The sequence below is a fragment of the Homo sapiens genome, chromosome 12, assembly GCF_000001405.40.
Source record: "Homo sapiens chromosome 12, GRCh38.p14 Primary Assembly".
Lineage (NCBI taxonomy): Eukaryota > Metazoa > Chordata > Mammalia > Primates > Hominidae > Homo > Homo sapiens.
In genome coordinates, this window is record NC_000012.12 from 55,157,890 (window position 1) to 55,174,694 (window position 16,805).

General features: G+C 37.5%; 1 pseudogene, besides 3 other annotated features; it reads left to right on the forward strand.

The window, feature by feature from the left end:
• On the forward strand, window positions 959–1,912 carry OR9R1P (olfactory receptor family 9 subfamily R member 1 pseudogene; annotated as a pseudogene).
• Window positions 8,893–9,471: an enhancer, noted in NCBI's record as "NANOG-H3K27ac-H3K4me1 hESC enhancer chr12:55560566-55561144 (GRCh37/hg19 assembly coordinates)". NCBI's record gives its function as "activates a minimal SCP1, AML or CMV promoter by ChIP-STARR-seq in primed H9 embryonic stem cells {active_cell/tissue: H9 hESC(primed)}" and the evidence as "EXISTENCE:reporter gene assay evidence [ECO:0000049][PMID:30033119]".
• Window positions 14,272–15,471: an enhancer, noted in NCBI's record as "MED14-independent group 3 enhancer chr12:55565945-55567144 (GRCh37/hg19 assembly coordinates)". NCBI's record gives its function as "activates an origin of replication core promoter dependent on BRD2, BRD4, P300/CBP and CDK7 cofactors, and independent of MED14, by STARR-seq in HCT116 cells {active_cell/tissue: HCT116}" and the evidence as "EXISTENCE:reporter gene assay evidence [ECO:0000049][PMID:35650434]".
• Window positions 14,590–15,351: an enhancer, noted in NCBI's record as "H3K27ac-H3K4me1 hESC enhancer chr12:55566263-55567024 (GRCh37/hg19 assembly coordinates)". NCBI's record gives its function as "activates a minimal SCP1, AML or CMV promoter by ChIP-STARR-seq in primed H9 embryonic stem cells {active_cell/tissue: H9 hESC(primed)}" and the evidence as "EXISTENCE:reporter gene assay evidence [ECO:0000049][PMID:30033119]".

The window sequence follows — 16,805 nt, forward strand, 5'->3', positions numbered from 1 at the left end:
TGCATTATTGTCTTGTGCTTTGTTAACAATATATAGAGGGGAAAACATTTCTTGTTGGGGAAGTTAATCTTATACCTAACCATAGTGTTCCTATATAAACAAAATAATTCATATGTCTATGGCAGTAAAAAGAAAAGGCATGCTGCAGTTTGGGTGCCAGAAAAGGGAGCCACCAGCATTCAGACACTAATAGTAAATGAAGGACCTGGAAGCTGAACAATATGTGGTTAATGTAGGGGATAAGAGTCTGATTTATTATTTTGAATGACATTCTCAAGACTAGTGGTTCATTCTACCTCATTAAACTATAACCCCATGTTTCCTAATGTCTTCTATGTAGCAGAATGTTTTAAGAACCAAATTAACTGCATTAATTATCTTGTAGTGGGGAAAGGAATTGACCTATGTTTTCACTCAGTTTTCCATTCTTAGAGCACAAGAAACTTTGTGTTTGTTTTTTTATTTATTTCACTGACGTGTATGTTTTTAAGATGTTTGTGTCATTATAAATATTGCTTTTCACACTCAATTTTGTGTAATCTTCACAGGTGCCTCCCATTTGGCAGAGGAGGACTTCTGAGGTATCAAAAGTGTAGATGGTTATCTTAGATTCTTTCATACTGAAAGATGTAAAATTTGGATGCAGCCCATATGACTCCAAAGCTCTTCACAAACAGCATAAAATGACTGATAATTTACTGCTGGAAATATCCCGTGCCCATTCAAATTTCTCACATAATACTAAAACTAAATAGACGGGAAAAACCTAAATAACCTTATTTTGATTTTACTGTGGTTGCTTCTAAATGTAAAACTATTCTATCAGATGCACTGCCAAGAAAACTCCAATTTGTATCAGCGTTTTTTTGTCTGTTTTTTCCCGTTGGCAACTTCAGGGACCAAAAGTTGACCAGGCTTCATTATAATCCACTCATTTTTCTCAGATAGGTCTTGGCTATGAAGAGCGAACTGAACAGGAATTACTCAGAGGTGACAGAGTTTATTCTGCTGGGATTCAGAACATCGCCAGAAGCACAGATTCTCTTATTCTTCCTGTTCTTGCTTATCTACATGGTCATTGTGTTGAGAAATCTCAGCATGTTAGTTGTCATTGAAATAGACTCCAGACTTCACACACCTGTGTATTTCTTTCTCAGAAATTTGTCCTATTTGGATCTCCGCTACTCCACAGTTATTGCTTCCAAAACTGACTACTTTATTTTCCAAGGAAAAGAAAATTTCTTACAATGGTTGAGCAACACAGTTGTTTTTCTTTGCTCTCTTTGTTGGGACTGAAGGTTTTTTTCTGGATATGATGGCATATGATCGCTTCTCAGCTATTTGTTCACCTTTCTTCTATACTGTATGTATGTCTCAGCAAGCTTGTGTTTGTTTGGTGGTTGGCTCCTCTATCTGTGGATGCATCAACTCCATGATACAAACAGGTTTTACCTTCAGTTTGCATTTCTGTGGAGAAAACAGATTAGAGCACTTTTTCTGTGATGTCTCAGTCATGATCAAGATCTCATGTATTGACATCCTTGTGAATGAGGTAGTACTGTTTATTCTCTCTGCTCTCATCACCACCACCACAACTGTCATTCTGGCTTCCTATGTGCATATCCTCTCCACTGTCCTGAAGATTCTCTCAACCCACGGCAGAAGGAAGACTTTCTCCACTTGCAGCTCTCACATCACTGTGGTGAGTTTATTCTATGGAACTGTATTCTTCATGTATGCCCAACCTGGGGCCATCTCCAAAGAGCAAGGTTATAGTTGTATTCTAAACTCTTGTCATCCCTATGTTAAATATCTGATTTATAGTCTAAGAAATAGGTGCAAAATGCTTTGAAAAGGACATTGATAAGAAAAATATCTTTTCATTGGCCTCTAGCCATCTATAAAACTATAGAAGCAACTAAGAGCAATACTATCAGTAATTTATTATAGAATAATTTCAAAGAAAAACATCTGAAAGTATGGAGATGAAAGTTTATTTTCGTGTTTTGACCATCAACAGATCCTTTTAAAAATGAATTAAAGGCCAGGCGTGGTGGCTCAAACCTGTAATCCCAGCACTTAGGGAGACCGAGGGGGGTGGATCATGAGGTCAGGAGATCGAGACCATCCTGGCCAACATGGTGAAACCGCGTCTCTACTAAAAATACAAAAAATTAGCTGGGCGTGGTGGCACGCACCTGCAGTCCCAGCTACTCGGGAGGCTGAGGCAGGAGAATCACTTGAACCCAGGAGGCGGAGGTTGCAGTGAGCCGAGATCGTGGCACTGCACTCCACCCTGGCAACAGAGCGAGACTCCATCTCAAAAAAAAAAAACAAAACAAAAGGAACTAAAAATCAATATAGATTTTTCATATTTCAACATAATTATTTTATGGTGTGCTGTCTAGGTATTCCATAGTTTGTTATTCTTGCTTCATTGTCTTAGTTGTACTCAAAACTGCAACTGAAATACAGTATTCACAAATTAATACATAAATACACGTTAAGTTTATTAATATATCTATATATGTATGAATATCTATATACTAATCTATTGGAGAGGGAAAAAGAGAGACACTACTTAACGTTCTTCAATATTTGTTTAATCTAGATCATAATCAAGTTGGCTATTGTACAACTTTTGCAAATGAGAATTAGAAATGCTATGGTAATCTAAATTATATAATGTAAATTATTGGCTTTGCCAAACCATTATGCAAAGGAGCAAGGCTAAATATTATACCAGTAATATTGCTAAAGCATCCACCTATATTAATGATTTCATCCAGAAGAAAAATAAGTAAATAAATAAATAAATGTGATATAGTTGCGGTAAAACTATCTTGTCATGGGGTTCAATAATAAATGTTTGATAAATAATCAGTATAATTTATGCTTATTGATCTATTAACTTTTATGTATGTTCTTGCATCACTTTTATAATTTATATATTGATTTGAAAATTTTTATTTTATTCTAGATTTGAACAATTATTACCATGTGTAAAATATTTTCTCAGATTAATAATAAAAATATTAACATAGTAAAGCCAAATAACCAAATCATAAATTTTAATTGACATAATAAAAGAAAATATTAATATCCTAAATTTTATTTTCTAATAATTTAATCCTTTCTATGTCTTTGGTTATATATACTTTTTATTTTTAATCCTGAGAATTTTATTTTTGTCCCTTAATTAAATTTGCCAGTGGTTTGACTTTATACCATTAGAATTTTGAGTTCTATATCATTATTTTCAAAGTAGTTGATGGTGTAATATCTAGTTATTGCATAAGTTTTTGTTTTTGTTTTGTTTTGCTTAAATACATTCAAAATTGCAACATATAACATCATAATTATATTAATACAAACATTAAAGTTATTATATCTGCATATGTATCTGTACATTCATGTAATTATTTTATGTTTCTAAGAGTTTTTGTTTTATTAGCCATCTTTTTTCTGCATTTAAACGTTAAATGCTTAGTATCTTATTTACAGTTTTTAATTTAATGAATTATGTTTAAAAGTTTTGAATAGTTTTCAGTGTAATTTATTTTAATTTTTATTATTGTATATATAACATTTTGTTAATTTTAATGTTCATTTTCACCTATGGATTATTTAGTTAAGGTTTCTTATTTCAATATAGTTGTTTTATTTAGACAATAACTTTTTATTGTTGATTTTTCTTTTATTTATTTATTTATTTATTTTTTATTAATATACTTTAAGTTTTAGGGTACATGTGCACAATGTGCAGGTTACATATGTATACATGTGCCATGCTGGTGCACTGCACCCACTAACTCGTCATCTAGCATTAGGTATGTCTCCCAATGCTATCCCTCCCGCCTCCCCCCACGCCACAACAGTCCCCAGGGTGTGATGTTCCCCTTCCTGTGTCCATGTGTTCTCATTGTTCAGTTGCCACCTATCAGTGAGAATATGCGGTGTTTGGTTTTTTGTTCTTGCGATAGTTTACTGAGAATGATGATTTCCAATTTCATCCATGTCCCTACAAAGGACATGAACTCATCATTTTTTATGGCTGCATAGTATTCCATGGTGTATATGTGCCACATTTTCTTAATCCAGTCTATCATTGTTGGACATTTGGGTTGGTTCCAAGTCTTTGCTATTGTGAATAATGCCGCAATAAACATACGTGTGCATGTGTCTTTATAGCAGCATGATTTATAGTCCTTTGGGTATATACCCAGTAATGGGATGGCTGGCTCAAATGGTATTTCCAGTTCTAGATCCCTGAGGAATCGCCACACTGACTTCCACAATGGTTGAACTAGTTTACAGTCCCACCAACAGTGTAAAAGTGTTCCTATTTCTCCACATCCTCTCCAGCACCTGTTGTTTCCTGACTTTTTAATGATTGCCATTCTAACTGGTGTGAGATGGTATCTTATTGTGGTTTTGATTTGCATTTCTCTGATGGCCAGTGATGATGTGCATTTTTTCATGTGTTTTTTGGCTGCATAAATATCTTCTTTTGAGAAGTGTCTGTTCATGTCCTTTGCCCACTTTTTGATGGGGTTGTTTGTTTTTTTCTTGTAAATTTGTTTGAGTTCATTGTAGATTCTGGATATTAGCCCTTTGTCAGATGAGTAGGTTGTGAAAATTTTCTCTCATTTTATAGGTTGCCTATTCACTCTGATGGTAGTTTCTTTTGCTGTGCAGAAGCTCTTTAGTTTAATTAGATCCCATATGTCAATTTTGTCTTTTGTTGCCATTGCTTTTGGTGTTTTAGACATGAAGTCCGTGCCCATGCCTATGTCCTGAATGGTAATGCCTAGGTTTTCTTCTAGGGTTTTTATGGTTTTAGGTCTAATGTTTAAGTCTTTAATCCATCTTGAATTGATTTTTGTATAAGGTGTAAGGAAGGGATCCAGTTTCAACTTTCTACATATGGCTAGCCAGTTTTCCCAGCACCATTTATTAAATAGGGAATCCTTCCCCATTTCTTGTTTTTCTCAGGTTTGTCAAAGATCAGATAGTTGTAGATATGCGGTGTTATTTCTGAGAGCTCTGTTCTGTTCCATTGATCTATATCTCTGTTTTGGTACCAGTACCATGCTCTTTTGGTTACTGTAGCCTTTTAGTATAGTTTGAAGTCAGGTAGTGTGATGCCTCCAGCTTTGTTCTTTTGGCTTAGGATTGACTTGGCAATGCGGGCTCTTTTTTGGTTCCATATGAACTTTAAAGTAGTTTTTTCCAATTCTGTGAAGAAAGGCATTGGTAGCTTGATGGGGATGGCATTGAATCTGTAAATTACCTTGGGCAGTATGGCCATTTTCACAATATTGATTCTTCCTACCCATGAGCATGGAATGTTCTTCCATTTGTTTGCATCCTCTTTTATTTCCTTGAGTAGTGGTTTGCAGTTCTCCTTGAAGAGGTCCTTCACATCCCTTGTAAGTTGGATTCCTAGGTATTTTATTCTCTTTGAAGCAATTGTGAATGGGATTTCACTCATGATTTGGCTCTCTGTTTGTCTGTTGTTGGTGTATAAGAATGCTTGTGATTTTTGCACATTGATTTTGTATCCTGAGACTTTGCTGAAGTTGGTTATCAGCTTAAGGACATTTTGGGCTGAGACAATGGGGTTTTCTAGATATACAATCATGTCATCTGCAAACAGGGACAATTTGACTTCCTCTTTTCCTAATTGAATACCCTTTATTTCCTTCTCCTGCCTGATTGCCCTGGCCAGAACTTCCAACACTATGTTGAATAGGAGTGGTGAGAGAGGGCATCCCTGTCTTGTGCTAGTTTTCAAAGGGAATGCTTCCAGTTTTTGCCCATTCAGTATGATATTGGCTGTGGGTTTGTCATAGATAGCTCTTATTATTTTGAAATACATCCCATCAATACCTAATTTATTGAGAGTTTTTAGCATGAAGGGTTGTTGAATTTTGTCAAAGGCTTTTTCTGCATCTATTGAGATAATCATGTGGTTTTTGTCTTTGGTTCTGTTTATATGCTGGATTACATTTATTGATTTGTGTATATTGAACCAGCCTTGCATCCCAGGGATGAAGCCCACTTGATCATGGTGGATAAGCTTTTTGATGTGCTGCTGGATTCGTTTTGCCAGTATTTTATTGAGGATTTTTGCATCAATGTTCATCAAGAATATTGGTCTAAAATTCTCTTTTTTTGTTGTGTCTCTGCCTGGCTTTGGTAACAGAATGATGCTGGACCCATAAAATGAGTTAGGGAGGATTCCCTCTTTTTCTATTGATTGGAATAGTTTCAGAAGGAATGGTACCAGTTCCTCCTTGTACCTTTGGTAGAATTCGGCTGTGAATCCATCTGGTCCTGGCCCCTTTTTGGTTGGTAAGCTATTGATTATTGCCACAATTTCAGATCCTGCTATTGGTCTATTCAGAGATTCAATTTCTTCCTGGTTTAGTCTTGGGAGAGTGTATGTGTCGAGGAATTTATCCATTTCTTCTAGATTTTCTAGTTTATTTGCATAGAGGTGTTTGTAGTATTCTCTGATGGTAGTTTGTATTTCTGTGGGATCAGTGGTGATATCCCCCTTATCATTTTTTATTGTGTCTATTTGATTCTTCTCTCTTTTTCCCTTTATTAGTCTTGCTAGTGGTCTATCAATTTTGTTGATCCTTTCAAAAAACCAGCTCCTGGATTCATTAATTTTTTGAAGGGTTTTTTGTGTCTCTGTTTCCTTCAGTTCTGCTCTGATTTTAGTTATTTCTTGCCTTCTGCTAGCTTTTGAATGTGTTTGCTCTTGCTTCTCTAGTTCTTTTAATTGTGATGTTAGGGTGTCAATTTTGGATCTTTCCTGCTTTGTCTTGTGGGCATTTAGTGCTATAAATTTCCCTCTACACACTGCTTTGAATGTGTCCCAGAGATTCTGGTATGTTGTGTCTTTGTTCTCATTGGTTTCAAAGAACATCTTTATTTCTGCCTTCATTTCGTTATGTACCCAGTAGTCATTCAGGAGCAGGTTGTTCAGTTTCCATGTAGTTGAGCAGTTTTGAGTGAGATTCTTAATCCTGAGTTCTAGTTTGATTGCACTGTGGTCTGAGAGACAGTTTGTTATAATTTCTATTCTTTTACATTTGCTGAGGAGTGCTTTACTTCCAACTATGTGGTCAATTTTGGAATAGGTATGATGTGGTGCTGAAAAAAATGTATATTCTGTTGATTTGGGGTGGAGAGTTCTGTAGATGTCTATTAGGTCCACTTGGTGCAGAGCTGAGTTCAATTCCTGGGTATCCTTGTTGACTTTCTGTCTCGTTGATCTGTCTAATGTTGACAGTGGGGTGTTAAAGTCTCCCATTATTAATGTGTGGGAGTCTAAGTCTATTTGTAGATCACTCAGGACTTGCTTTTTGAATCTTGGTGCTCCTGTATTGGGTGCATGTATATTTAGGATAGTTAGCTCTTCTTGTTGAATTGATCCCTTTACCATTATGTAATGGCCTTCTTTGTGTCTTTTGATCTTTGTTGGTTTAAAGTCTGTTTTATCAGAGACTAGGATTGCAACCCCTGCCATTTTTTGTTTTCCATTGGCTTGGTAGATCTTCCTCCATCCTTTTATTTTGAGCGTATGTGTGTCTCTGCACGTGAGATGGGTTTCCTGAATACAGCACACTGATGGGTCTTGACTCTTTATCCAATTTGTCAGTCTGTGTCTTTTAATTGGAGCATTTAGTCCATTTACATTTAAAGTTAATATTGTTATGTGTGAATTTGATCCTGTCATTATGATGTTAGCTGGTGATTTTGCTCGTTAGTTGATGCAGTTTCTTCCTAGTCTCAATATTCTTTACATTTTGGCATGATTTTGCAGTGGCTGGTACCGGTTGTTCCTTTCCATGTTTAGCGCTTCCTTCAGGAGCTCTTTTAGGGCAGGCCTGGTGGTGACAAAATCTCTCAGCATTTGCTTGTCTGTAAAGTATTTTATTTTTCCTTCACTTATGAAGCTTAGTTTGGCTGGATATGAAATTCTGGGTTGAAAATTCTTTTCTTTAAGAATGTTGAATATTGGCCCCCACTCTCTTCTGGCTTGTAGGGTTTCTGCCGAGAGATCCGCTGTTAGTCTGATGGGCTTCCCTTTGAGGGTAACCCAACCTTTCTCTCTGGCTGCCCTTAACATTTTTTCCTTCATTTCAACTTTGGTGAATCTGACGATTATGTGTCTTGGAGTTGCTCTTCTCGAGGAGTATCTTTGTGGTGTTCTCTGTATTTCCTGAATCTGAACGTTGGCCTGCCTTGCTAGATTGGGGAAGTTCTCCTGGATAATATCCTGCAGAGTGTTTTCCACCTTGGTTCCATTCTCCCCATCACTTTCAGGTACACCAATCAGACGTAGATTTGGTCTTTTCACATAGTCCCATATTTCTTGGAGGCTTTGCTCATTTCTTTTTATTCTTTTTTCTCTAAACTTCCCTTCTCGCTTCATTTATTTCATCTTCCATTGCTGATACCCTTTCTTCCAGTTGATCGCATCGGCTCCTGAGGCTTCTGCATTCTTCACATAGTTCTCGAGCCTTGGTTTTCAGCTCCATCAGCTCCTTTAAGCACTTCTCTGTATTGGTTATTCTAGTTATACATTCTTCTAAATTTTTTTCAAAGTTTTCAACTTCTTTGCCTTTGGTTTGAATGTCCTCCCATAGCTCAGAGTAATTTGATCGTCTGAAGCCTTCTTCTCTCAGCTCGTCAAAGTCATTCTCCATCCAGCTTTGTTCCGTTGCTGGTGAGGAACTGCGTTTCCTTGGAGGAGGAGAGGCGCTCTGCTTTTTAGAGTTTCCAGTTTTTCTGTTCTGTTTTTTCCCCATCTTGGTGGTTTTATCTACTTTTGGTCTTTGATGATGGTGATGTACAGATGGGTTTTTGGTGTGGATGTCCTTTCTGTTTGTTAGTTTTCCTTGTAACAGACAGGACCCTCAGCTGCAGGTCTGTTGGAATACCCTGCCGTGTGAGGTGTCAGTGTGCTCCTGCTGGGGGTGCCTCCCAGTTAGGCTGCTCGGGGTTCAGGGACTCACTTGAGGAGGCAGTCTGCCCGTTCTCAGATCTCCAGCTGCGTGCTGGGAGAACCACTGCTCTCTTCAAAGCTGTCAGACAGGGACATTTATGTCTACAGAGGTTACTGCTGTCTTTTTGTTTGTCTGCACCCTGCCCCCAGAGGTGGAGCCTACAGAGGCAGGCAGGCCTCCTTGAGCTGTGGTGGGCTCCACCCAGTTCGAGCTTCCAGGCTGCTTTGTTTACCTAATCAAGCCTGGGCAATGGCAGGCACCCCTCCCCCAGCCTCGCTGAGGCCTTGCAGTTTGATCTCAGACTGCTGTGCTAGCAATCAGCGAGACTCCATGGGCGCAGGACCCTCCGAGCCAGGTGCCGGATATACTCTCGTGGTGCGCCATTTTTTAAGCCCGTCAGAAAAGCGCAGTATTCAGGTGGGAGTGACCGAATTTTCCAGGTGCCCTCCGTCACCCCTTTCTTTGACTCAGAAAGGGAACTCCCTGACCCCTTGTGCTTCCCGAGTGAGGCAATGCCTCGCCCTGCTTCGGCTCGCCCACGGTGTGCGAACCCACTGACCTGCGCCCACTGTCTGGCACTCCCTAGTGAGATGAACGCTGTACCTCAGTTGGAAGTGCAGAAATCACCCGTCTTCTGCGTCGCTCATGCTGGGAGCTGTAGACCGGAGCTGTTCCTATTTGGCCATCTTGGCTCCTCCCCCCAATTCCATTTTATTATCTTAAGTTTAGAGAATTTAAACTCAAAAAATCTATTTGGTGAAATTTACAGTTATAATGCTTGCTTGACAAGATATTATGGTTTGTAAATATTCCATGAATTTAAGCAAAGGATGCTTATCGCTTACATATTATCAAATTGAAACTTACAATGTATTAGATATAATAAAAGTTGATCACTGTGGGTAAGTTGGTGTACCAGATAGACATTAATGGTTGAATATTAAAAATGCAGTCACATTCCCTTTATTAACTAAAAGATTTTTTAAAATTATTGTCTGAGAAGCTGTAGAAAGAGCATTTGACAAATTTTAACATTACCAAAAAACTTAGTAACCTTAGAAAATAACTAAGCTTCATTAACCTAATAAAGTAGGTGTATACAAACAGAATAAACACATATTTAAAATGGGAAAATAATAGAAGCATTTTCTTTAAAATTAGGAAAAAGACAGCCGGGCGCCGTGGCTCACGCCTGTAATCCCAGCACTTTGGGAGGCCGAGACAGGTGGATCACGAGGTCAGGAGATCGAGACCATCCTGGCTAACACAGTGAAACCCCGTCTGTACTAAAAATATAAAAAAATTAGCAGGGCGTGGTGGCGGGCGCCTGTAGTCCCAGCTACTCAGGAGGCTGAGGCAGGAGAATGGCGTGAACCTAGGAGGTGGAGCTTGCAGTGAGCTGAGGTCACGCCACTGCACTCCAGCCTGGGTGACTGAGCTAGACTCTGTCTCAAAAAAAAAAAAAAGGAAAAAGACAAGATGTCTATTATTTTTGTTGCAGTTCAACATTCTATCGGAAATCTAGCCAGTGCAATATGATAATAATAAAATTAAAAGTATAAAGGATCAAATGTGAGATTAAACTGTCATTTATATGATAATTTAAAGAAGAGTTCATACATTGAGTACACGTGGACACAAAGAAGGAACAATAGACAACGGCGCTACTTGAGGGTGAAGCGGGGAGGAGGGTTAGGATTGCAAAACTACCTATTGGATACCATGCTTATTACCTGGGCGACTAAATAACCTGTACACCAAACCCCCATAATGTGTAATTTACCTATATAACAAACCTGCACATATACCCCTGAAAGTAAAATAAAAACTAGTAAAAAAGATAAAGAAGAGTTTATAAAGATGTTTTGGTTAATGTACAAAAATCAATTGCACGTTTACACAACAGCAGTAAACAAATATGACGTTTAATTTAAAAGATTATACCCTTTACATGTGTATCAGAGATTATCAACTTTTTAGGGATAATTTAGTAAAAGATGTATAAGACTCTACGTGGAAAAGTATAAAATTCTTTATATCATGCAATAATTTTTTTTTTTTTTTTGGAGATGGAGTTTTGCTCTGTTCCCCAGGCTGGAGTACAATGGCATGATCTTGGCTCACTGCAACCTCCGTCTCCCGTGTTCAAGCAATTGTCCTGCCTCAGCCTCTTGAGTAGCTGGAATCAGAGGCACGTGCCACCACGCCCGGCTATTTTTCTATTTTTAGTAGAGGTGGTGTTTCACTATGTGGGCCAGGCTTGTCTTGAACTCCTGACCTCAAGTGACCCACTGGCCTAGGCCTCTCAAAGTGTTAAGATTACAGGTATGAGCCACCACACCCGGCCTATATCATGCAACACTTTTATTGCTGAAAAATTACAAAGTGCATCAACCATGCAAGAAAAGATAGGTACATGTAAATACAATAGAATTAAGTATTGTTTCCTCCAGAAGGATGTTTTGTAAAAAGTAAAAGTACAAAATATAAGCCAAAAGAATTGAACAAGATTATATACTAAGTGCCTACAGATCTATAATAATGTCTAATCAATTACATGAAATGGGTAAAATTGATTAACACATTTTATAGAAGAGCAACCAATAAAATGTATTGGGTTTTTAATAAAAGAAATGGAAATTAAGATTATAACAAAATTCCATTTTACACCCATTCAATTTGAAATAAATAAAAAAGTCTGATGATGCCAATGTTGGAGAGTATATGGTCTACAGCACGCATTCTTAACAGGGGCACTGTTGCCTCTAAGGGTGAAAAATTGCTTCTTGTATGTGGTAGAAAAATCTTACTCCCTATAATTTCTTAGAAATCATATCTTTTAAAAATTTATACATACAAATAAATATAAAAATTCTACATACAATAGATGAACAGTTATACAGTGGTCTATGGTATTAACATTATATAATGATGACTAAAAATGTACAAAGAAGGCATTTTTTTCATAATTTCTCATTGTCGTTGGGGTGATAATGAAAAAATAAGATTGTATCTACAGGTAGTCTACAGACTCTGGTTCACATTGCATTTGTAAATAAATGAAAATAATTAGAGAACACATTTGTCATTATCTCCTGTAGTGGGACATATATATCTTATGACCCAGAAATTCCTCTCCTGAGCAGATATCCAAGAGACTATCTTACACATATATTGGAGAAGATATATATATAAGAATGTCTATAAAAGCATAGTGAACAAAATAAAAATTCCGGAAATAAATCAGATGCTTATCAATGGGATTGTTCATTGATTAAAAAATGGTGTATTTACACAATAGAATATTCTGAGACAAGTAAATTACAGATACACCCCAAGCAATTGAATCTAAGCAATAATATATTAACAAGAAAAAGTAAGTCCCAAAAGATCACTTACAGAATGCTTCTTTTAAAAACACTGAAGTCTATACTTTATTCGAATTTTATTAGTTTTTTCCTTAAAAGTTCTTTTTCTGTCCCAGGAACTCTTCCAGGATATCACGTTGCATTTCATTGCCATGTGTCTTAGCCTCCACTGGACTGTGACAGTTTCTCAGACGTCTTTGTTTTTAATGACCTTGACTGTTTTGAGGAGTAAGGGTCAGGTATTACAGAATGCTGCTCTGTTGGGGTTTATCTGATGGTTTCTCATGGTTAGACTGTGGTTATGACTTTTTGGATGACTACTGAGGTGAAATGTCATTATCAACACATCATATCAAGGATACACACTATCAAATATAACTTATCCCTAATGACGTTAACCTTGATTACCGACTGAGGTAGTGTTTATCAGGTTTCTCTTCTATAGAATTGCATTCTTTCCATTTCTATACCATCCTCTTTACAAGCAAACTACTAAGTGTAGCTCACACTTAGAGGGTGGGTAATTAAGCTCTCCGTATTGAGGAGGAAATACATAAATGTATGAAATTCTGTATGTGATACAAATAAGATAAACATATCTAAAATAAAAACAATTAGCAATGTATACATATGCAAACTATATTAAATTATAACAACTGAATGATTCACATGGGAATCAGAATGTTATCTTGGTTGGGAGGATATAGGTGTATGGAAAGAGAGGGAACCACAGGGTTAGATATCTGTTATGGTTAATGTTCATATGTGGTCCAAAGATGATAGTGTAACATGAAACAAGAATTATTATTATTTTTTCTGCACATTAGAAAGCCAAATATATTAAAACTGTAATGTAGTATCCTTCTGTGTATGCTTTATGATTTTCCCAGAATCTTACCTAATATATTATTAATATTTTTGCTTCTACTTTTTTGTTTGAATTTGGTTTTCCTTTTAGCTCTTGTAACCATTTTTACTTTTGATATTTGTTTAGTTATTTTTCTTCCTACTTGGCTCATTTTTGCTAATATTAGTTTCTTCCAGAGGTTTGTTTTTTTTTTCTTTTGGTTTGTGGATTTTTTTATAGATGTTTCTTCAGTTAGTACTTCATTAACATTTGAGAATAAAGCAATGCAATTCTAATTAATTTGCATTTCCTTAACTTTGATATTGAATATATGTGTATATTGAAAATTATATATTCACTTTGATGACATGTATGTTCATATTGTTTATGTCAAATTTCATTGTCTTGTTCATTTTCTATTTGTTGAGATTTAAAAATTCTAAATGATGTTTTTAATAAGGTATGTGATTTGCAAGTATTTTATCTGAATATGTTGTTTTTTGCTTATCATAGCAAATATTTCAAAGATAAGTTCTTAATTTTAATGAAGTTCAATTTATCATGTTTTTATTTATTGATTGTTCTATGGTGAGTTATCAAAGAAATCCTTGTCTAACTCAAGGTCGTAAACATTTTCTTTTGTTTCTGATATGGTGCGGGTGTGTCCCCACCCAAATCTCATCTTGAATTGTAGCTCTCACAATTTCCACATGTCATGGTAGGGACCCAGTGGAAGGTAATTGAATCATGGGGGCGGGTCTTTCCTGTGCTGTTCTCCTCATAGTGAATAAGTCTCATGAGATCTGATGGTTTTACAAAGAAGAGTTCCCCTGTACAAGCTCTGTCTCTATGCCTGCCACCATCCATGTAAGACGTGACTTGCTCCTCTTTGCCTTCCACCATGATTGTGAGGCCTCCCCAGCCATGTGGAACTGTGAGTCCATTAAGCCTCTATCCTTTATAAATTACCCAGCCTCAGGTATGTCTTTATTAACAGTGTGAGCACAGACTAATACTGTAAGTTGGTACCAGGAGTAGGGCACTGCTGTAAAGACATCCAAAAATGTGAAAGTGACTTTGGAACTGTGTAACAGGCAGAGTTTGGAACAATTTGGAGGGCTCAGAAGAAGACAGGAAAATGTGGAAAAGTTGGAACTTCCTAGAGACTTGTTGAATGGCTTTTACCAAAATGCTGATAATGATATGGATGATGAAATCTAGGCTGAGGTGGTCTCAGATGGAGAGGAGGAACTTGTTGGGAACTGGAGTAAAGGCCACTCTTGCTACTCTTGCTATGTTTTATGTAGTGAAAGTATGAATACATTTCTGTTTTTTTGCAAATGGATATTCAATTGGTTCAGCACTATTGGTTGAAAGGTTATCTTTTTTTTTTTTTTTTTACTAAATTGCTTTTTTAGTGGACTGTCTTTTCCTTTGGTCTATTTGTGTTTCTTGATGTAAATTTCACACTATCTTAATTATTGTAGCTTTTTAAGTTCTCGTAAAATCAAGAGGTTTGATGCCTTCAGTTTTGTTCTTTTTGAAATCATTTTGGCTATCTTGGTTGTTTGCATATGTATGTAATATTTTGGATAAATTTTTAAATTTCTACCAAAAAGATCTACCAAAAAGAGGGTCCCCTTATCTTCCTTGAATCTCTGACACACCCCATAAGTGTTTATATCAGATACTTTTGTGAAGATGAGGGAACCTGCCCAGGGTCTTGTCTGGGCATGCCTGCCATAAACTGAGGGCCTGCCTGGGCACTGGGAGAATGAGTGGAGCCACTGGGAATTGGTGCCTTATGTAGTTAGGAGAAGGCTGGCCTCTTCAGCTTGAGTGTGGTGGCCTGGTATTCAATGAGGTGTGAGCCTGTTGGCAGGACCCCGTTTTTCTTGGCTGAGAGTTTTCTTTTTGCCTAATAAATCTGTCCTTCTCACCCTTCAAAGTGTCCATGTGCCTAATTTTTCCTGGTTGTGAGGCAAGAACGTGGATTTTAGCTAAACTAAGGAGCAAAATATCCCACATCATTTTGGTGGCCTGTATGGGGACATGAGGAAGGGTGAATCAAATGCAGAATCCCCCACAAAACCTCTTTCCCTTTTGTTTCTCAGCTTTTTCTTGCCCTCAGACATCTTCTGAAGGTAGAGAAAACTGTGACCCTCCACTTCCGTTGCCTTGGGGATTGCGAATGTCAACCTCAGTCCAACCCAGTCTTTTCTATGGCATTTTCCTTCTTTTGGGGGGGATTGTAATGGCACCTATCTTTTCTTTTACAATATTGGGGGTGTTCCACCACCACCCCAATGGTCACAGGCATGCATGCAAGACAGATAGGTGAGTGGTGACTCCCTGCCCACCTCCACCCAGCTGGGGCTGGGGCACCTGGCCCAAGGGCTCCACACAGCACGCTGGCCAGCATTCCCAGCAGCATCGAAAAGTTTCTCTCCAGTCCAACAGCAAGTAAAATTTCTCTCCCTGTTGGAGGAACACATTTGCATAAGAATAGGAGATTCTTCCCCCAGGCATCTTTCCAACTCTGTACTTAAGATGTTTTATTTTCTTTTCTTCACCCCATCAGCACTTAACACATCCCTGCACTTTAAGCTGTATTTTTTCTTTTCTCCACCAGGTCAGGAGTTGGTGGGTTGGTGCAAAAGTAGTTGTGTTATTTGACATTACTTAGCATGATGGGGACCATGAATGCTTTTGCACCAACCTAATAACACGCTCCTGCAAGTAGAAGGGACTTCTCTATGCCAGAGGCCTTTTTTCCTTTGAGAAGACATTATACTAGGCCAGGACTCAGTACACAAGACACCCTTTTCTCTCTCTTGTTGGAGGAGGACTCAGTTCCACAGCTTCACCTTAGCATTTGGCTTGTAAAGTGTCCACACAACCCGCCGAAGCAGTTCTTTTGTCCCAAACTCAATTCCAAGCTTTGAGTCGAAGCCCTAGGAAAGAAAACTCAATCTGGGGTATAGTGTTGAATAATATTCTATTGTCTAAATGTGCTACACTTTCTTTATCCATTCACCTACTGAAGAGCATCTTGATTGCTTCTGTTTTGGTAATTATGAAAAAGGTGTTACAGATATCAGGGCATAGGTTTTTTCGTGGATATAAGTTTTCAACTCTTTTGGGTGAATACTACACAGTGTGATGGCTGGGTCATATTGTAATAGTGAATTTAGTTTTGTAAGACAAGGCTAACCTGTCTTTCAAAGTGGCCGTGCCATTTTGCATTTCCATAAAAATTAAATGAACATGCTTGTTGCCCTATATCCTCACCAGTATTTTGCATTGCCAGTGCTCTGGATTTTGGCCATTCTAATAGATGTGTGGTAGTATCGTGTTATTTTAGTTTGCATTGCCCTGATGACATTTGATGCAGAACATCTTTTCATATGCTTATTTGACATTTGGCTATTTTTTGTGTGTCTGTTAAGCTATGTGGCCTATTTTTAATATTAAGTTATTTGCTTTCATATTGTTGAGTTTTAAGAGTTGTTTGTATATTTTGGTAACAGTCCTTTATCAGATATGACTTTGCAGAAATTTCCT